Source organism: Homo sapiens, chromosome 18 (genome assembly GCF_000001405.40).
Source record: "Homo sapiens chromosome 18, GRCh38.p14 Primary Assembly".
Lineage (NCBI taxonomy): Eukaryota > Metazoa > Chordata > Mammalia > Primates > Hominidae > Homo > Homo sapiens.
The window spans coordinates 21,371,923-21,393,712 of record NC_000018.10 but is presented as its reverse complement, the minus strand read 5'-3'; the positions used below and the strand labels follow the sequence as shown (position 1 = coordinate 21,393,712).

General features: G+C 41.0%; 1 protein-coding gene and 1 long non-coding RNA gene across 30 annotated transcripts in view, besides 2 other annotated features; one reads left to right on the top strand and one right to left on the bottom strand.

Annotated features, from left to right (window-relative positions):
• The window catches only part of GREB1L-AS1 (GREB1L antisense RNA 1), a 71,004-nt gene extending 57,335 nt beyond the window's left edge, over positions 1–13,669 (top strand). Inside the window, exons 3-4 of the long non-coding RNA NR_187982.1 lie at positions 6,126–6,200; positions 13,038–13,669. This is a non-coding gene — a long non-coding RNA (GREB1L antisense RNA 1). The remainder of the gene's footprint in view (positions 1–6,125; positions 6,201–13,037) is intronic.
• GREB1L (GREB1 like retinoic acid receptor coactivator) overlaps positions 1–21,790 on the bottom strand; it is a 283,881-nt gene that overhangs the window by 132,400 nt on the left and 129,691 nt on the right. For all 29 annotated transcript variants that reach the window (XM_006722547.4, XM_011526179.4, NM_001410867.1 and 26 more), the window contains 2 exons: positions 10,038–10,203; positions 9,310–9,507 (listed from right to left, as the gene is read on the bottom strand). In XM_006722547.4, the coding sequence (XP_006722610.1) occupies positions 9,310–9,507; positions 10,038–10,194 (355 nt within the window). In that variant the 5' untranslated portion in view covers positions 10,195–10,203. The remainder of the gene's footprint in view (positions 1–9,309; positions 9,508–10,037; positions 10,204–21,790) is intronic.
• Positions 1,866–2,718: an enhancer, noted in NCBI's record as "NANOG hESC enhancer chr18:18970956-18971808 (GRCh37/hg19 assembly coordinates)". NCBI's record gives its function as "activates a minimal SCP1, AML or CMV promoter by ChIP-STARR-seq in naive and primed H9 embryonic stem cells {active_cell/tissue: H9 hESC(naive and primed)}" and the evidence as "EXISTENCE:reporter gene assay evidence [ECO:0000049][PMID:30033119]".
• Positions 6,157–6,957: an enhancer, noted in NCBI's record as "OCT4-NANOG-H3K27ac hESC enhancer chr18:18966717-18967517 (GRCh37/hg19 assembly coordinates)". NCBI's record gives its function as "activates a minimal SCP1, AML or CMV promoter by ChIP-STARR-seq in naive and primed H9 embryonic stem cells {active_cell/tissue: H9 hESC(naive and primed)}" and the evidence as "EXISTENCE:reporter gene assay evidence [ECO:0000049][PMID:30033119]".

Here is a 21,790-nt window from a genome sequence, read left to right as displayed (position 1 = left end):
CCGCACCTGTAATCTCAGCACTTTGGAAGGCAGAAGCGGGCGGATCATGAGGTCAGGAGATCGAGACCATCTTGGCTAACATGGTGAAACCCCGTCTCTACTAAAGATACAAAAAAATTAGCCGGACATGGTGGCAGGCACCTGTAGAGGCGGAGCTTGCAGTGAGCCCAGATCGCGCCACTGCACTCCAGCCTGGGCAACAGAGCGAGGCTCTGTCTCAAAAAACAAACAAACAACAACAACAACAAATTAGCTAGGCATGGTGGCACATGCATGTAATCCCAGCTACTTGGGAGGCTGAGGCAGGGGAATCACTTGAACCAGGGAGGCAGAGGTTGCAGTGAGCCAAGATCGCACCACTGCACTCCAGCCTGGGCAACAGCGTGAGACTTGCTCTCAAGAACAGGGAAAAAAACGCTATTTCAGAAAATTTTGGAAGCAAGGAGGATGCCTACCTCTCCCTACACAAACCCGAGGAGAGCACCATTATCATTGCCCAATACAAAGTAGGGAAAAACCATGCTAGATTCTCCTAGCATCAATTCATGTTATGATTTTAACCAAGTGTCAACAGATAATTGAATGCTATCAGTTACTGGCATGAGAAATAAAAAAGAAAACACCATGAAAACATTGGATGAGGCGAGGTGCAGTGGCTCACGCCTGTAATCCCAGCACTTTGGGAGGCCAAAGAGGCAGATCGCTTGGGTCCAGGAGTTCAAGACCAGTCTAGGCAACAGGGCGAAACCCCATCTCTACAAAAAAATACAAAAATTAGTCGGGCCTGGTGGTGAGTGCTTGTAGTCCCAGCTACCTAGGAGGTTAAGATGGGAGCATCCCTTGAGCTAGGGAGGCAGAGGTTGCAGTGAGCCAGGATTGTGCCATTGTACTCCAGCCTGGGTGACAGAACAAGACCCTGTCTAAATTTTTTTTTTAAAGAAAAAAAATTAAAATTTAAATTTAAAAAAATGGATGAAGCGGTGGGGCATATTAAATTTACCATATAGTTTGGGTCACCAAACCTCAAAAACAAGCCTAATAGAATTGGGAAAAGTCAACAGAAGAAAGAATAAAATTATCAAGACTGCAGGGCTCAATCATTTCAAGCTTATAGATCCCTTTTTAACATTAATAAAAGTCAATTTAAACTCTAAAAGTCAATTTAACTCTAGAAGTTCATGAATTAAGAAAAAATATAAAAACTTATGAATTCTTTAGCAATTTTAAGTGCATCTGCATTTGTTCAAAATATCATTTATATTTATTTGGAAAATAGTCATTAAATATGTCGGTCATATTACTTCGTTTACAAATATTTTTTGGAGCCTATGGATACATGGAACCCATTGGAAAAAAAAAATCTGCTGTGTCCACCCACCTCTATTAAGGAACAGGGCTCACAGGTTTGAAAGTTGGGAATTGATGATGATGATGATGGCAGCTAAAACTTATGGAGCACTTGCCATAGCCAGGCACAGTGCTAAATACTATATAGATTACCTTATTCAATGCACTCAACACTCAAGACTGGTACTAACCCTGTAGATAATCTTTCTTGTACAGCATGAATATCAAACAGTATATGAATAAACTGATCTAAGTAGGCCAGGTGCAATGGCTCACGCCTGTAATCCCAACACTTTGGGAGGCTGAGGCGGGTGGATCACCTGAGGTCAGGAGTTCGAGTCCAGCCTGGCCAACATGGCGAAATCTTGTCTCTACTAAAAATACAAACATTAGCTGGGGGTGGTGGCATGGACCTGTAGTCCCAGGCACTCGGGAGGCTGAGGCAGGAGAATTGCTTGAACCTAGGAGGCAGAGGTTGCAGTGAGCCGAGATTGCACCACTGCACTCCAGCCTGGGCAACAAGAGTGAAACTCTGTCTCAAAATAAATAAATAAATAAACAAACAAACCAATCTAAAATTACTTTCTATTTAAAATCAAGTCCTTATCACATGCCATGTAATGACAGAATTAATTTTTAAATCTCTGAATTCAAAAGATTACACACTATTATAAGAGACATTTGTGAGTCAACGATTGAGGAACACAGATCTGTTCTAACCTCTTTAATATGTAAATGAAAGAAGGGCCCCAAGAGACTAAGAAAGTGGCCCAAGGCCAAATACTCAACCACCAGAAACAGTAGATCCAGAACCCAGGTCTCTTAACTCCTAATTAACTGCTCCTTTGACCTCATTAACACCTCTCTGACTCATATACAGTCATTTATCACTTAACCACATGGATGCATTCTAAGAGGCGATTTTGTTGTGTGAACATCATAGAGTGTACTTTCACACACCCAGATGATACAGCCTACCACACATGTAGGCTAGATGGTATAGCCTAATGCCCCTAGGCTACAAACCTGGATAGCATTCTATTGTACTGAATACTATAGGCAGTTGTAACACAATGGTTAAGTATTTGTGTATCTAAACATATGTAAACACAGAAAAGGCACAGTGAAAATACGATATAAAAGATAAAAAATGACACACCTGTATAAGTCACTTAAAACAGAGCTTGCAGGACTGGAAGTTGCTCTGGGTGAGTCAGTGAGTGAGTAATGAGTGAATGTGAAGGCCTAGGACATTACTGTACACTTTGTAAATGCTGTACCCTTAGGCTACACTAAATTTACTAAAATGTTTTTTTCTTCAATAATAAATTAACCTTAGCTTACTGTAACTTTTTAACTTTATCACCTTTTTAACTTTTAAAAACCTTCTGATTCATAATAAAACTTAAAACACAAACACTTTGTATAGCTGTATAAAAACGTTTTCTTTCTTATATCCTTATTCTATAAGGCTTTTTTGTATTAAAATTTTTGTTTTGTTTTGTTTTTTACTTTTTAAACTTTTTTTGTTGGCCTGGCGCGGTGGCTCACGCCTGTAATCCCAGCACTTTGGGAGGCCAAGGCGGGTGGATCACAAGGTCAAGAGATTGAGACCATCCTGGCCAATATGGTGAAACCCCATCTCTACTAAAAATACAAAAATTAGCTGGGCATGGTGGTGGGCGCCTGTAGTCCCAGCTACTCAGGAGGTGGAGGCAGGAGAATCACTTTAACCCAGGAGGCGGAGGTTGCAGTGAGCCGAGATTGCGCCATTGCACTCCAACCTGGTGACAGCGCGAGACTCCATCTCAAAAACAAAAACAAAAACAAAAACAAACAAACAAACAAACTTTTTTGTTAAAAACTAAGGCACAAACACACACATTAGCCTAGGCCTACACAGGGTCAGAATCATCAATATCACTCTTCCACCTCCATATCTTGTCCTACTGGAAGGTCTTCAGGGCAAAAACATGCTTGGAGGGTCATCTCCTATGATAATAATGCCATCTTCTGGAATACCTCCTAAAGGACCTGCCTGAGGCTGTTTTACAGTAAACTTTTTTTTTTTAATAAGTAGAAGGAGTGCACTCTGAAATAACATAGATAATAAAATAACTAGGTAATAAAAAATAACATTTATTACCTAGTATCATGTGGTGTACCTAATTGTATGTGCTATACTTTTATATGACTGGCAGTGCAGTAGGTTTCTTTACATCAGCATCACCACAAACACATGAGTAATGCATTGCACTACTTTACAATGGCTACAGTGTCATCAGGCAACAGACATTTTTCAGTTTTGGAACCTACAGGACCAATGTCATATATGCAGTCAGTCATTGACCGAAATGGTGTTATTTGGCACATGACTGTATACTGTTTCACCTTCCTCTAGTCTGATGGAGAGCTCTCCTATAACTTCATCCTTGCCTATTTTTGTTGGGTCCTATCACTTGACTTCCCTGTGGCCTTTTCAGATTGATTTCTGAGCATCATTTGATACACCAGCCCCTGCCAGCCATTGACTGTGTCGGCATTCACCTATTTCATACTTGTTAATGAGTCCTTAAAATTCAAGTTTTGGCAAGCCGCAAAAGTAATTCATGCTCACAGACTGACATTTCTGCTGAGCTTTCTCAAGCAATACATTGCAAAAGGGAGACTAAGAGGGAAAAGTTACAATTTTGTTTCTGGGCTAAAGAGGTATAGAGTAGAGAAGGCACAGTTAGTGTTGAGAAGGCCTGAAGAAAGCAGGATTTTCTAGGGAAGAGAGATTATTTCAGAGCAATTTCTGTGGCAAAATGAAAACTACACAATCCACACAAATAGTTTTTAGTATTACAATCTTTGAGGGTTTTCCCATTTATGAGGACACCTAGAGGAGAAAAGCAATAATTATTAAACAATTACTGTATTCTATGAGAGGTGTGTGCCTAACCTCCTTCCCTTAAAAAAAAAAAAGTCAAGAGGTTCCTGTGCCCGTGAAAAGAGAAAATTCCTATTTGATGAAAAAAAAAAAAAAAAAACCCACCCCATAATGATGGGGGTTTGTAAAAGTGGCACGAGAACCAACTGAGATCCCAATGTCCAAAACTGAACAATTTGAGCAACAAAATAAATTAGTATTGGATTATAAACATAAAATAAATGTAGGTATTTATGGCCATAATGACATAAATAAACGAATGAACCCATCAATAAATGGGAGAGAAGAGATGAATTCCCAGGCAGTAGAATTTCAAATAATTTACGTAGCCTGCCCTCAAGGATGTGGAGTATAACTCCCTGCTCCTTCAGTGTGATCTGGGGATTCCTTCCACAGTATGTAGTGGAAGGAGAGTGGGGATAACACTCCTTCAGCCCCTCAGCCAGGTGACCAAGGTCAACAGCAATAGTGTTAAATCATGTTGATAGTATGTACCCTTGAAAGAATAAGATAAAAATTTACCTCTGTGATCTTCCTCCCCAGATCCCATAACCTCAATCTAATAAGGAGAAAAACATCAAATGAATTCCAATAGGGGGGTCTCCTACAATATGCCTAATACTCCCCAAACGGCCAAGGTCATCAAAAACAAGGAAAGTCTGAGAAACTGTCACAGTCAAAAGGAACCGGTGAAACCCCATCTCTACTAAAAATACAAAAAATTAGCGGGGCGTGGTGATGGGAGCCTGTAGTCCCAGCTACTCGGGAGGCTGAGGCAGGAGAATGGTGTGAACCCGGGAGGCGGAGCTTGCAGTGAGCCGAGATCGCACCACCACTGCACTCCAGCCTGGGCGATAGAGCAAGATTCAGTCTCAAAAAAAAAAAAAAAAAAAAAAAAAAGGAACCTAAGGAGACATAACAATTAAATCTGATGCCGTATCCTGGATGGGATACTGGAACAGGAAAAGGATATTAGGAAAAAACCAAGGAACTCAAATAAACTGTGGACTTTAGTTGTTATTAAAATTAATAAAAATGTATCAATATTGGTTCATTACTTGTAGCAAATGTCCTATACTAAGATATTAATAATAGGGCAAACTGTGTGGGGATATATGGAAACTGTACTATTTTCTTAATTTTCACAAATTTAAAGCTGTTCTTCAAAAATAAAATAAAATAGTTCTATTTTATCTTTTACCATGTAGCTATTTGCCAATACAAGCCACACAGGCAATTTAATTAAGAAGAGAATAGGAAAGAAAGGCACAGCAGGGCTGTGTCTAGGAACAGGGTCCAGAAGAAATCAACTCCATGCCAAAAATGCTCATTAAGTCAAGCAAAAGTTTATGAATTCAGTTTGTAGTTATTCTAAGAATAAGTTCGCCTGCCAAGGGTCTGGTCTATTTCTGTAAAGTATGTATCTATTTACTATTTCCTCCAAATCCTCATTGCTGGGATTCAGATCAGCTAATGATATACAAAATATATCATGAGGGATCCCTACGAGAGTAAAAACATTATGCAAACAGCAATATTTAATTTAGTTTTTTCAGATGGAAAATAAGCTGTGTATGTCTGTAAAAAAGAGTGGATAGCTAAAAACAAAATCTATGAAACATTCTATCTCAAGACATAGGATCCCAATATCCAGTGTGATAGGTAGTTCTATTTTCCCACTACTAGAAATATGTCTGATTAATAGTCTAATAAACATCAAATATTAAATCTCAGTTAAAACCTTGAACTAAATGAAAAAACAAAACAAAACCTTAGGACTCCCCAACAGGGTAATTCTGAATTACATCTAAATAATTCTGAAGGACTGATGTGATCTTTCTTTTAGAGGCTACGAGAAGATCTGGTTAAGAGTATCCTAAGGGAGGATCTAAGCCTGTTCATACTCTACAAGCAAAGAAACGTAAGTTAGTGATAACAGGCATACAAATAATTTTTTTGACAAATCTGCCCCTGAAATAATTTCATTTTCTGAAGATAACACTGAAATGTTGCTCTAAAACCAGAGCAAATGATTTTAATTTTTTTAAAAAGGAATAATAGTAGACAGGTCTTCTTTATAAACTTCATCTGCATTTCCTTAAGAAAACAGCCAAAGATTTCACTTCACAGAAACAGATTAGCATTCTCCAATTATCTCCAACTTGAAGGTTACAGAGTAAACTAAAAGAGGGCAGGGAAAACTTTACAGAACCAGCTATAAACACAAACTAGAGTAATCAAAGCAGTATTTGGAGGCCTAAAATTTGGTTGTCCTTTACCCCTCTGGACAATCAACTGCCTCCCAGCAGGGTAGGAACCTACACTACTCCGATAATTTACATAAGAAATTAGCAACCAAAATTTACATCTGAATGGTAAACCCCAGCAGCCCATCAGGTGTTAAGTATTTGCTTATCTAAATTGCCTCTAAAAATAGCTTTACCTTTCTTTGAGCCTTAAGTAAATAGAGGATTTCCCATGAAGGGAAGGTGGTATGCTTATTTAGGTTCAGGCAGTATATTGCCCTATTTCACTGCCATTTTCATAAGGAAAATTTCAGAACTGTTCTCCCTTTGAGTAAGAAGGCTCTTAAAACTATCTTAGAATGAGTTCAATTGAAAGAGCTACTGGCTGGGCGTGGTGGCTCACGCCTGTAATCCTAGCACTTTGGGAGGCCGAGGCAGGCGGATCACGAAGTCAGGAGATCTAGACCATCCTGGCTAACACGGTGGAATCCTGTCTCTACTAAAAATACATAAAAAAGAAGCCAGGCATGTTAGCGGGCGCCTGTAGTCCCAGCTACTCAGGAGGCTGAGGACTCAAAAAAAAAAAAAAAAAAAGCTACTGGCCAGGCACAGTGGCTCACGCCTATAATCCCAGCACTTTGGGAGCCGAGGAGGGTGGATCATGAGGTCAGGAGTTCAAGACCAGCCTGGTCAAGATGGTGAAACCCCATCTCTACTAAAAATACAAAAATTAGCCAGGCGTGGTGGCGGGCACCTGTTATCCCAGCTACTTGTGAGGCTGAGGCAGAGAACTGCTTGAACCCGGGAGGTGGAGGCTGCAGTGAGCTGAGGTCGCGCCACTGCACTCCAGCCTGGGCAACACAGTGAGACTCCGTCTCAAATAAAAAAAAAGGTATCTACAAACTATAAACTACCAAATTAATTATAAACTTTGTGTTTTAAATGCCTTCCCCCAAGGTGAATTAAAACGGGAAAAAAATGGACATTAATTATAAGAACCAAAAGTAGCTGATACAGGAATCTAAGTGTAGGACTAGTGTTTTTGAATTGTTTTGGAATATAAATCTTGAACTTGAGTGAGACAGTTAAAAAAACTGCACCTCCTTTATCTTTAAAATGATATTACCCTTCCCATACACTCTCATATTCTCATGTTTTAAAGTTTAAGAAATACTGGCTATCTCTAGATCACTAAGTTTATTATACCTTGGTGGGTACTAAACAGCTCTCCATACCTGCTTATAAAAAACACCAGTGTCAGATACCCTGTAAGGCAAACTAAAAACATACCTAGGGCACAGGAAGAATGGAAACCTCTCTCCCATGTTTTGGTATAAAATTAGATATTTGAAAATTATCCTCTAAAGCTTTTACTCTATGTAACTCTCACACATAACAAGATTCTCAATGGGAATCCAACAACGTTTTAAGCACTATTTCACCTTCCATTTTGTTACCTGATAAATGAGTTGACAGCTCAATTAAATAAAAGGCATGAAGATGGACGTAAAGCAAGTAAGAAGAAACATAATGCTAGTCACCTCCTACACCTCCACAGGCTTAAAGGCCTGTATTATGTCAATAATGAATAAATCCATATATATTATATTAAGTTTGAGCAATCATAAACAAATTCATAAGGAATAATGCGCTACAGGCAGGGCCGAATCAAAGAGCAGTAGTACTAATTGCTAGAGGCCACCTTTAGTGAATTGGGCACTTAAGAAGCTACCAGAATTATTCAGGTTTCCTCATCTCCTAGGTAGGGGATTTTGACTCCTTTACGGTTTATCACATTGTCCAAAAAAAAAAAAAAGTCAAGAGAAAATAAAACTCCCAAGCAGGGCTTTCTGACTTTCCATATTTGAACCTCTAGTTTTTCTCTAATTCTTTGCACTTTAAGCTTTGTAAGAGGAATGTTCTGAAATTATATCCCTTTTCTTCTTCTCCCATTTCCCCCACTCCAAAATTTTCATGCACTGAAATCATCCTAGGTCCAAGTCATTCTGGGTATAAGAACAATACTCTGGCTAATCGGGACAAAGTATTATTCATGAACTAATTAGGCTGGGATGGTCAGAAAATAGCACAGTAAACTATTAAATGGAGGGAAGAGAGTGTAATTTAAGTTATGATATCACCAAAACCATGAAATACTGGAAATGCTTTATACTAGGATTTTCTTGTAAAGTGTGAAGCCTTGGTGGAAGAGGAGGTTGACCCTAATAAATAAAAAGGGATTAACAAAATATACACATTTTAATCCTCTATAAATTTTTACATTTATAATATGTATAAAATATTTTAATCCTCTATATCGGATGAGTGTTCAAAATAAATGTAAACGGTAAATATGAAATCTCTAATATCTCTCTGATTGTTTGCAGGGCCGGGGGCGGGGGGGAATAGAAAGAAGTACGAAGAGGGAATACTAAAAAAGTCCTAAAATAGTAGCATTCTTGCAGAAAGTACTTGGAATACTGGAAAAGCCTTGACCTGGGTTTAGAATTGCCTCTGCAATTCTAAACAGACCATCTCAGGGAAGTCAACAACTGTGAATTTCAGTCTCTTTATCTGTTAAGATGGGATGATAATACTTGTCTTTCTTACAGACATCTGTTGTGAAGTCACAGGAGATAATGTGAATGAGAGCATAATCATTTCTCATTCCTCTCCATACGATAATTACTAGTTTCCAGCCTTGAGCACCTCATGTAATAATTAGAAATATGTCAGACAATATTAGAGACAAAATAGCAAAAAGAAAACACAACTGAAACCCACCATCTGTAGTGCAAGATCCTTCTGGGGCAGGTTTTTGTGAATAGGGAATTGGTGGGCTGTTTGAATCAGACATTTCTTCATCGTCTTCATCATCTTCCATTTCATTAACTGTTAGATTGTTAGAAAAATCCAGACTTCCATTTTGAGTGTAGCGGTTTACCAAATCTTTGTCCAGATCCTCCACCTTGGGTTTGACATCTGGGTAAGCAAATAAATCACAGCAGATTTAATAAAAAGATGCTTATGGAAAAATGCACAGTTCTGAAAGACATAATTGAAGAAAAAAGGTCTAGCATTTTCTAACATTTAGCCAATTTATCTCAGAGGTCCCAAGATTTGGAATCCCCACTTCTAAAACAAGAATCCCACTTTTTAAAAAAGGAGTCCAGTGGCCGGGTGCAGTGGCTCATGCCTGTAATCCCAGCACTTTGGGAGGCGGAGGCGGGCGGATCACGAGGTCAGGAGTTCAAGACCAGCCTGACCAACATGGTGAAATCCTGTCTTTAATAAAAATACAAAAAAAATTAGCCAGGAGTGGTGGCGTGCACCTGTAATCCCAGCTACTCAGGAGGCTGAGGCAGGAGAATTGCTTGAACCCAGGAGGCAGACGTTGCAGTGAGCCGAGATCACGCCACTGCACTCCAGCCTGGGCAACAGACGGAGACTCCATCTCAAAAAAACAAAACAAAAAAAAAGAATCCAGAAATGTGTGTGATTGAGAAACTTACCTGCAGATGAGAAAGGATGCTGGTCAGGGTCCAGGTATAGCTGGGAAAAAATTGGCCGTGGTACCACACTACTACATCTGAGGGAGGCTTCTATGGAGTTGTGGAGAGCTTCCTCAAATCGAGCAGATTTCAGTTGCCCAGCATATGAATTCCCCATGATCTACACCTACCCATCCCCAAGAAAAAGAAGAAAGGATAAAATTGATATAATTAGAGGTTCTATGTCTCAAAGTACAGGTAGAGCTAATTTAAACTATGTCCATATATCTTGTTAAGATGTGAAATATATGAACTACCCAGAGATCTTAAGACAGCTTGTGTAAGTTACTTGTTATCATGTCACGTGTGCTTTTTGTCTTCACAGCCCAAACCCAACTCAAAAAGCCCCTTTGAGGGATTTTGTATCTATAACAGTAATAAATGCTTAAGTCAAGGCTCTCCAACCAGTAAATCAAGACTGACCTGTCAGTCATGAATCCCAACCTGGTTAACAATGTGGCCATATCACCTTTATAGGAGGCTACTATAACTCCCTAGAAACTCTATCAGTGGTTTCAGAGTAAGTAATGAATTTTCTCTTTACAAAGATCTATTACTCTAGATGGGGGAAAAAGGCTCTCTTCTGGAAAAAAAATGAAAGTTTTATGGTTATATATTTAATTAAATTTCTGAAAGCAAGACGAGCGTTTTCAACTTGAATAATTCATTTATGTATTACTAGTATTTGAAAAACACTGTTATTTCTTTTGCTTCATCTGAAGTACAATCTTATTTGGGACCCTTCAATTAAGTATATGGCAAAAAACTTTGAAGTCATGACCTTTACTTCTCATCACTAATATTTATATAGTACTATAGTACTTGCTGGTTATAAAAATTTCCATGTATAGGGTGGGCATAGTGGCTCATGCCTGTAAACCCGGCACTTTGGGAGGCTGGGGCAGGTGACATGAGGTCAGGAGATTGCGACCAGCCTGGCTAACATGGTGAAACCCCGTCTCTACTAAAATACAAAAATTAGCCAGGCATGGTGGCATGTGCCTGTAGTCCCAGCTACTCAGGAGGCTGAGGCAGGAGAATCACTTGAATCCGGGAGGCGGAGGTTGCAGTAAGCCGAGATTGCGCCACTGCACTCCAGCCTGGGCGACAAGAGCAAAACTCTGTCTCAAAAAAAAAAAAAAAAATTCCATGTATAACAATAATAACTACAATTTATTGGGTGCTAATTAATGGCTAATGATACTCAAAGGGTCTTGGGGGTGGAGGTGGGGCCAAGACCCTACCCTTCTGATGGTCCACAAAGTCAAAACTATTTTTTTAAAAATTTTTTTGAGACACAGTCTCACTTACTCTGTTACCCAGGCTGGAGTGCAGTGGCACAATCTTGGCTCAGTGCAACCTCCGCCTCCCAGGTTCAAGCAACTCTCCTCAGCCTCCCAAGTAGCTGGGACTACAGGCACACAGCACCATACCAGGCTAATTTTCGTATTTTTAGTAGAGACGCAGTTTCCCCATGTTGGCCAGGCTGGTCTCAAACTCCTGACCTCAAGTGATCCACCTGCCTGGGCTTCCCAAAGTGCTGGGATTATAGGCATGAGCCACCACACTCAGCCAAAACTATCTGAAACTATTTAAACAAAATTTTTTTTTGTTCAAAGCTGGTAGGTAAGGCTTGTAGGAGCTGGTTCAGCTGTTCAACAGTGCTCTCAAGAACAGAGCTCTTCCTGTCATTCTGCTCCATCACCCTGAATGTGTTGACTTTTACTCTCGATCTTGTCCCCAAACAGCTGTGACAAACCAAAGCATCATGTCTACATTCCAAATAATCAAAAGGGCAAAAGACCTTCTTTTTAGAAACCTTGGTCTCTTTATTTGGAACGGAATGCCTCTTCCCAGCAAACTTTTCCTTGAATCTCTGGCTAGAAATGGGTCAGCTGTCCATTCCTGGGCACATCATCAAACTACTACTAGGATATTATTTGTCTTTTTGACTCTGATTCACTCATATGTGTACATGGAATTTTCCAGAATCTGCAGGATGTGTGATATTGCAACAGGTTGAATGCAGAAGCACATAAGCTACTCACTAACTTGTCTTTGGAAAATACAATTATTTTTCATAAAATATGCTATCTATGTTCATATACAGTGGGGTTTTATTATAATTTCTAAAAGTAATACATATTCATAAAATTTTTCAGTTTTAATTTTTAATAAACAAAAATGCTATGGGGTCCTCAATAATCTTTTTTTTTTTTTTCTTTTTTTGAGATGCAGTCTCACTCTGTCGCCCAGGCTGGAGTGCAGTGGCGCAATCTCGGCTCACTGCAATCTCTGCCACCTGGGTTCAAGCAATTCTCCTGCCTCAGCCTCCCGAGTAGCTGGGATTACAGGCGCCTGCCACTGTGCCCGGCTAATTATTATTATTATTTTTGAGACGGAGTCTCGCTCTGTCGTCCAGGCTGGAGTTCAGTGGCACTATCTCGGCTCACTGCAAGCTCTGCCTCCCAGGTTCACGCCATTCTCCTGCCTCAGCCTCCCGAGTAGCTGCGGCTACAGGCGCCCGCCACTGCACCTGGCTAATTTTTTGTATTTTTAGTAGAGACGGTGTTTCACTGTGTTAGCCAGGATGGTCTCGATCACCTGACCTTGTGATCCGCCCACCTCGGCCTTCCAAAGTGCTGGGATTACAGGTGTGAGCCACCGCGCCCGGCGTGCCTGGCTAATTATTGTATTTTTAGTAGAGACGGGGTTTCACCATCTTGGCCAGGCTCGTCTTGAACTCCTGACCTCGTGATCCACCCGCCTCAGCCTCCCAAAGTGCTGGGATTACAGGTGTGAGCCATTGCGCCTGGCCAATAATCTTTAACAGTATAAATGGGTTCTAATACTAACAATCTGAGAACTATTGGGCTAGATAGTCTACTAAGCACTTTACAAAAATTGTTGTATTTAATCCTCAGTATTCTGAAAAAGGTATGACCTCTTTCCATTTCACAGATTAAAAAACAAAACAAAAAACCAAAACTTGAAGAAACGAAGTGACCAGTTCACTACCATTCAACTATTAAGGGATAGAGCCAGGACTCAGTATCTAGTCATGTGATGACAAAGCCCGCACTCTTACTGTACAGCCTCACCTTGGATAAATCTCATTTCAAGACAGGTAATTTTGAGAATATCTTAGGCCCCCCTTCTATCAAAGAGAGGGATCGAATTTAAAATTTATCTGGAATGCCAACTCTGATTAACTCCCTGGAGAGAGTCCCTGGAGGACTGGTTGAGAAGAACCCTGAGGATGCATCAGTGTTCATCAGGAAAGGGCGCCAACACCCAGCGTGCCCACTCATGAGCAGGGAGGAGATGATGCATGGGAATCCACAACTCTATCTCAAGTTTCCCAGACACACACTAAAGCTCTGCAGAAGATTTTGGTGCCCCTGAGCTACTTTTACACAGCAAAGAAGACTTCTGATGTGATTCCTGGTGGCAGTGCGTAGTATGCGATGATTTCCATCAGAGTGGCTGGGTTTGTCAAAGCTTTATTAGAGATTCCTATGATTTGAAGAAAAAGCCAGGGTCCTATTTTGGCAACTTTTCTGATATAAGTAATAAAAACAAAATGCCATGAATTTAAATTGTTAGGTTTCTTTTTTACAAAAAGTTTATACTCAAAATGTACAATACCCAATTACAAGTTGCATATGTATATAAAATACCCAATTAAAAGATGAAGAAATAGAAGAAAATCAACAAAGTCTGTCAACTGAAATGTTCCTGAAACACCAAGTTTTTGGCCAGGCTCCTAAGACTCCCCACCAGTACAATACAAACATTAAAAATTTTTAAAGCTCAGAAGTAATTTACTTTTCAGCAGCACCACACGTGATCAAAACAGGGGGAAGGTTGGAGGAGAAATAGGCTGTGCCACTAGTTTATGCGTCTAAACCAAAATCCAACAACCATTTCACCTTCCTTGCTAAAGAGAGAAAAGGACCAGGAACTAGCACAGAGTTAACCATAGGATTGCTTATCTGTGAACAATGAAATAACATCAAAAGTGAACTTTCAGCCTTTTTCCAGAGCACCAATGTCTGGAAATATTGCTGCCTCTTAATCTATTACCACTCCAACAAGTTATCTTCCTTTCATCATTGAAAATCTTGAAAACCTCCTGGCGTGGTGGCTCACATCAGTAATCTCAGCACTTGAGAGGCCAAGGCGGGCAGATCACCTGAGGTCAGGAGTTTGAGACCAGCCTGACCAACATGGAGAAACCCGCTTTCTACTAAAAATACAAACTTAGCTGGGCATGGTGGCACCTGCCTGTAATCCCAGCTACTCGGGAGGCTGAGGCAGGAGAATCGCTTGAACCCGGGAGGCGGAGGTTGTGGTGAGCCAAGATCATGCCATTGCACTCCAGCCTGGGCAACAAGAGCGAAACTCCTTTCAAAATAAAAAAGAAAATCTTGAAAAGCTACATTCTCCAACAGGTCTTTTTAGTTTAATTTTTAAAAAGTACCCAGTTATACATGGAGGATCACATAATCTCAATCTCTTCAACTTAGAGTTTAAGGAGTAATACGACAGAACATATATAAACAACAGATAAATATCATGCTGAATAAAAATATTAAATCAGGCTGGGCCTGGTGGCTCATGCCTGGAATCCCAGCACTTTGGAAGACTGAGGAGGGAGGATCACTTGAGCTCAGGAGTTGGAGGTTGCAGTGAGCTATGATTGTGCCATAGCATTCCAGCCTGGGTGACAGAGCAAGATCCTGTCCCCCCCCGAAAAAAAAAACACTAAATTAATTTAAAAATGGGCAATGGAGTTTCACCATTACAGAAGACATACAGAATCCTACAAAAGCATTAGCAATATTCAGATGAAGTCAATGGGAAGTATCTATTCCCTGCTGAGACTTGGTAGAATAAAAGGAATTAGCTGACTCTATTCCAAATAAAAACATAACAGGGCATTTAAAAAATGATAATGGTGGCTAGGTGCGGTGGCTCACGCCTGTAATCCCAGCACTTTGGGAGGCCAAGGCAGGCAGATCACCTGAGGTCAGGAGTTTGAGACCAGCCTGGCCAACATGGCAAAACCCTGCCTCTACTAAAAATACAAAAAATTAACCAGGCATGGTGGTGTGCTCCTGTAGTCCCAGCTATTCTGAAGGCTGAGGCAGGAGAATCTCCTGAGGTCGCAGTGAGCCAAGATGGCGCTGCTGCACTCCAGCCTGGGCAACACAGCAAGACTCTGTCTCAAAAAATAAAATAAAATAAAAAATAAAAATAAATAATGGTAATGTAAAGAATTACGTAACTGACCCCAGACTTAATTTAGTGCTGACTATGGAGTTCTGCCCTTGATATCCCAATGCTACCCAAAGAAGAAGGGTGGAGTTCAAAGGACGTCTGTGTAATATATTCTAAATGTCATATGCCATGGTATTCAGGGTCACTGAAATTGTTGGCATTATCCACCAGCCTCCGTTTCCTCTAAATCTCAAAGAGCCCCCATGCCTGAGATGGTGTAACACCTGACTGGAAGTCAATGTGAATAAATTTGACTTCAGGCAGAAGATGGAAAGATACTTTTCAAAACTAGTCATTACATCAAATGCAAAAAGAAAGGCAACTTCTGGACAGGCATGGTGGCTTGTACCTGTAATCTCATCACTTTGGGGGCTGAGGTAGGATTGCTTGAGGCCAGGAGTTTGAGACCAGCAACATAATGATACCTTGTCTCTGTTTTTTTTGAGACAGAGTTATACTCTTGTTGCCCAGGCTGGAGTGCAATAGCGCTACCCCGGCTCACTGCAACCTCCCGCTCCTGGGTTCAAGTGACTCTCCTGCCTCAGGCTCCCGAGTAGCTGGGATTACAGGTGCCCCCCACCACACCTGGCTAATGTTTGTATTTTTAGTAGAGATGGTCCATGAAGTCAAAACTATTTTTTAAAAAAATTTTTTGAGACACAGTCTCACTTACTCTGTTACCCAGGCTGGAGTGCAGTGGCACAATCTTGGCTCACTGCAACCTCCGCCTCCCAGGTTCAAGCAACTCTCCTCAGCCTCCCAAGTGGCCAGGCTGGTCTCAAGCTCCTGACCTCAGGTGGTCTGCTCGCCTCGGCCTCCCAGAGTACTGGGATTACAGGTCTGAGCCACTGTACCCGACCTCTCTGCTATGTACTTAATAAATACTATAGAAGTACAGTTTTAATAATAAGAGTAATTATTAACTAAGAAACCTTTCACAAAAAGGAAATGAAAACATACAGGTTAAGGAGTACTGTCCCTCAGAGTGCATTACTACTTTTTTCCATTTTCAAAAGGAAAAGGAGAATTGAGGAGAGGCGTGGAAGCATTAGCAGGCACCTATTTCCCAAGCTACTCTTTTTTTTTTTCCTTCCAACCTCTCTAGCCCCACTTTCTAAAGTCACCGGGGATAGAGGCTGCCTGTTTTACCCACATCACCATTCTGCAATTTTTCTTTCTGTGGAAAAAGGGAAAAGGATAGAGCAGAAAGGCTGCAAACCACAATGTTGTGGTGGTTTGTAGTTGATCCAGTCTGCATTTGGAGCAATTAATTAGGGGTGCAGAAAGATTTGCTCATATTTTTTACTGTCCTTTTCTTTGACATTTTCTCAAAGTCACAGAAGTGCTTGTTAATATCTCAGAGGTCTGTAGTGCTATGACAAAATATTTAATATAGTTTGTCCTTTTGTAATTTTACAATAAAAATTATGGAAAAGCAATGTAATGGAGTCTTATAAACTTGATGTCAGCCAGATACATACAATACATAAGTATATACTGGAAATTACAAGTTGGCTTTCTTTTTTTTTTTTTTTTTTTTTGAGACGGACTCTCAGAGTCTCGCTCTGTTGCCCAGGCTGGAGTGCAGTGGTGTGATCTCGGCTCACTGCAAGCTACGCCTCCCGGATTCACACCACTCTCCTGCCTCAGCCTCCCAAGTAGCTGGGACTAGAGGCGCCTGCCACCATGCCCGGCTAATTTTTTTGTGTTTTTAGTAGAGATGGGGTTTCACCGTGTTAGCCAGGATGGTCTCCATCTCCGGACCTCGTGATCCGCCCACCTTGGCCTCCCAAAGTGCTGGGATTACAGGCATGAGCCACTGCGCCCGGCCCTGTCTATTTTTTCATAATTATGTCTTAGAATCTACAGAAGTGACGTGAGATTTTTGGGCCCCTCAGTTCTTTGTTTTTGCTTTTTTTTTTTTTTTCTTAAAAATAGGCCAGGTGGCTCATTCCTGTAATCCCAGCACTTTGGGAAGCTGAGGTGGTGGGTGGATCACCTGAGGTCAGGAGTTTGAGACCAGCCTGGCCAACATTGCAAAACCCCGTCTCTACTAAAAACACAAAAAATAGCCAGGCATGGTGGCAGGCGCCTGTAATCCCAGCTACTTGGGAGGCTGAGGCAGGAGAATCACTTGAACCCTGGAGTGGAGGTTGCAGTGAGCCGAGATCACGCCATTGCACTCCAGCCTGGGCAACAAGAGCAAAACTCCATCTCAAAAAAATTTTAAAAAAGTATACAGCAGAGAGAGAGAGAGAGAAATGCCCTCCTCAGTGATAAAATTTTCCCTTAACTCTCAAAGACTTTTTAGAATTAAAGCATTGATTTCAGAATATACAGTCATACTTGTAGTTAAAGTTGTATGTGAAGCACATGTTACAATGGCAGGCATTACTGGCAGTTAATATAATAGTAGCTGTTGTTATTATTACTAGCAGTAGTGATGGTGGTGGTGGTGGTGGTGATGGTGGTGGTGGTGGTAGTTATTGTCAAAAAATGTGAAAGAAAGCATCCCTTCAGTGATTGCAAGAGTAGCATGGAGAGCTTACTAAGTGCCGAGCAAGCACTATTATTACTCACATTTTCAAGATAACTGAGGCTTAGAGAAGTTAAGGAACTTGCCTAAGATCACCCTACAAGGAAACAGGTAAACAGGGTAGAACCAAATCAGTTTGGCTCAGAAGCAGCTCTCTTAGGTGCTATCTTTATCACTCAGACCATTAAGCTACTAACCCACTGACCAAGATGGCCCAATTGGGTAAATGAATGCTTGGTAATGTACTATAAAACTGCTGACCTCCAAAGAAAAAAATCAGAAAAGAAAATGTTTGTTTGCTGATGTGGCCTCATCTCTATTTATCACAGTTGCAAGACAGGCTGAAAAGGAAATTTTAACTTAAGATATGAGCCTAAGAGTCACAAAGCCAAATAACAATTTTAAAAATCACAACAAAATAACCGTACCGCTCTAATAAAAAACTCCTCACATCAGGGCCAGGTGCGGTGGCTCACGCCTGTAATCCCAGCACTTTGGGAGGCTGAGGTGGATGAATCACGAGGTCAGAAGTTCGAGACCAGCCTGGCCAAGATGGTGAAACCCGTCTCTACTAAAAATACAAAAATTAGCCGGGCGTGGTGGTGCGTGCCTATAGTCCCAGCTACTCGGGAGGCTGAGGCAGAAGAATCGCTTGAACCCAGGAGGCGGAGGTTTGCAGTGAGCCAAGTTCGTGCCACTGCATTCCAGCCAGGGCAACAGAGTGAGACTCCATCTCAAAAAAAAAAACAAAAACAAAAAACAAAACAAAACAAAACAAAAAACCTCCTCACATCAAAAATTAGCCAAGATTGGTGGCAGGTGCCTGTAGTCTCAGCTACTTGGGAGGCTGAGGTGGGAGAACTGCTTGAGCCCAGAAGTTGAGGCTGCAGTGAGTCATGATCATGCCACTGCACTCCAGCCTGGCTGACAGAATGAGACCCTGTGTGGAAAAAAAAAAAAAAAAAAAGGAAAAGGAAAAAAGTTCCCCTTTTGATTAAGTATAAATATATTTTCAAGTACTGCACTTGGGGTTTTAATAAAAGTTTCTTTTAATACCAACTATCTGGAACAAATAAACATTAATTTTTAAAAGTATTTTTAAAAAGGAAATGACAAGGAAGAACAAGAAAAACACTGATTTTTAAAAAGATCATGTACAAGCTAAAAGAAAAAGAACTGAATCTAAAACACTAATTTGGGGTTGTGTGATTTTAACAGCAAAGTAAGCTGTGGTACAGGTAGATGGGGATGTACATATTCTAAGTAATAACTCATTTGAAGTTTTAAAATATGTATTTCTAAGCTTTGTCTACTGAAAAATCTGAGAAGCAATACCATTCAATTACTATTAATAAGCACTTCCTATACTCTGATTGTAGTGGCCTAATGCCTTCCACACTGAAAGGAATCAAGATTTTTTCAAGGTATGACCAGTTCCAAGTCTGGGGCAGGGAATACTCCAGATGAGCCTCGAACATCTGAACAAGAAAGCAAAGGTTATCAAGAACTAATAAGGCTGGGTGCAGTGGCTCACACCTGTAATCCCAGCAATTTGGGAGGCCAAGGCAGGCAGATGACTTGAGTCCAGGAGTTTGAGACCAGCCTGGGCAACATGACGAAACCCTGTCTCTACAAAAAATACAAAAATTAACTGGGCATGTGGTGGTGTGTGCCTGCGGTCCCAGCTACTCAGGAGGCTGAGGCATGAGAATTGTTTGAGCCTGAGAGGTGGAGGCTGCAGTGAAGTGTGGTTGTGCCACTGCACTCCAGCCTGGGTGACAGAGTGAAACCTGGCCTGAAGAAAAAAAAAAGAACTAATGAAGCATGTTAGAAGACATACGAGACTACCTGAAGAGCTCCCATAGGCTAAAGATTAGAGAAACCAAACATAAAAGAGAATAAATCCAACTGACCAAAGCAATTTAAAATATAAAAATTCACAAATTAATTTTGCTACTACAGGAGAAAAAGCAAGAGCTCCTTTGGAAAGACAAAAACAAAGCACTACAAGCAGGAAAAGAAAAGAGCAAAGCATTTATTCTACTCTTTCTGTACTTCAAAAAGAAAAGAACAAAGCATTTATTCTGCTCTTTCTGTACTTCCAAGTAACCAAATAGTCCTGATTATTGAGAGTTTGAATTTTTTTAAAAGAAGAATTCCAGCTAAAAAATGTTCAAAAAGAGGGCCAGGCACAGTGGCTCACGGCCTGGAATCCCAGCACTTTGGGAGGCCAAGGCGGGTGGATCACCTGAGGTCAGGAGTTTGAGACCAGCTTGGTCAACATAGTGAAACTCTATCTCTACTGAAAATACAAAAATTAGCTGGGCACGGTGGTAGGTGCCTATAATCCCAGCTACTCGGGAGACTGAGGCAGGAGAATCGCATGAACCTGGGACGCGGAGGTTGCAGTGAGCTGAGATAGCACCATTGCACTCCAGCGTGGGTGACAAAAAACTCTGTCTCGAAAAAAAAGGAGGCAGGGGGCAAAGAATGACAGAATTATAAAATTATCACTTTGTAACCCCTAATGAAAAATTCATGCAGGCAATGGTAATAAGTGAAACCATGAGACAGAAGGTTGATAGGGAACTTTATAATGGAGAGATCCCGCTGTCACCTCCTGAACCCACTGGTTGAGCTTAGCATCACTAAAAGTGAGGCAGTGAGATGATGCGTGCCTTCTCAGTGGAGACGATATGAAGCACACTCACCACCTAGGAAGCATTCCTGCCAAAGGGTATCATGAATTTAGTCATCCCTCTAGAACAGGGGTGTCCAATCTTTTGCCTTCCCTGGACCACACTGGAAGAAGAAGAAATGTCTTGGGCCAAACATAAAATACATGAACACTAACAATAGCTGATGAGCAAAAAAAAAGAAAAGAAAAGAAAAAGGAAAAATTGCAAAAAAAATCTCATAATTTTTTGTTGTTGTTTTGGCATGATCTCGGCTCACCGCCACCTCCACCTCCCAGGTTCAAGCGATTCTCCTGCCTCAGCCTCCCAACTAGCTGGGATTACAGGCGCCCGCCATCATGCCCAGCTAATTTTGTATTTTTAGTAGAGATGGGGTTTCTCCATATTGGTCAGGCTGATCTTGAATTCCTGACCTCAGGTGATCCACCCGCCTCGGCCTCCCGAAGTGCTGGGATTATAGGCATGAGCCACCGCACCCGGCAAAAATCTCATATTTTAAGAAAGTTTACAAATTTGTGTTGGGTCACATTCAAAGCCATCTTCGGCCACACTGGAAGAATTGTTCTGAGCCACACATAAAATACACTATCGACAGCTGATGAGCTAAAAAACAAAACAAAAAAAATTGCAAAAAAAATCTCTCGTGTCAGGTATAATACTAAAAAGACAAATTTGGGGCCGGGCACGGTGGCTTATGCCTGTAATCCTAGCACTTTGGGAGGCTGAGGCAGGTGGATCACAAGGTCAGGAGTTCAAGACCAGCCTGGCCAAGATGGTGAAACCCTGTCTCTACTAAAAATACAAAAATTGGCCTGGCGGGGTGGCGGGTGCCTGTAATCCCAGCTACTTGGGAGACTGAGGCAGATAACTGCTTGAACTCGGGAGGCGGAGGTTGCAGTGAGCCGAGATCATGCCATTGAACTCCAGCCTGGGCAACAGAGCGAGACTCTGTCTCAAAAAAAAAAAAAAAAGAGAGACAAATTTGTATAACTTCGTAGTTTTCTATTACCTTTTTCTTTACAGATGTCACTTTCTAAACTTTAACAATTAATCACTCAGCATTTATAGAAATACTACTGTCATAGGGATTAATTACATTGACTCAGGAGTCCAATGACCTTAATTCAAATCCTGTACCCACCTACTCCTAGTATGATATTGGGCAAATTGTTCAATCTTTCATCTGTAAAATGGAGACA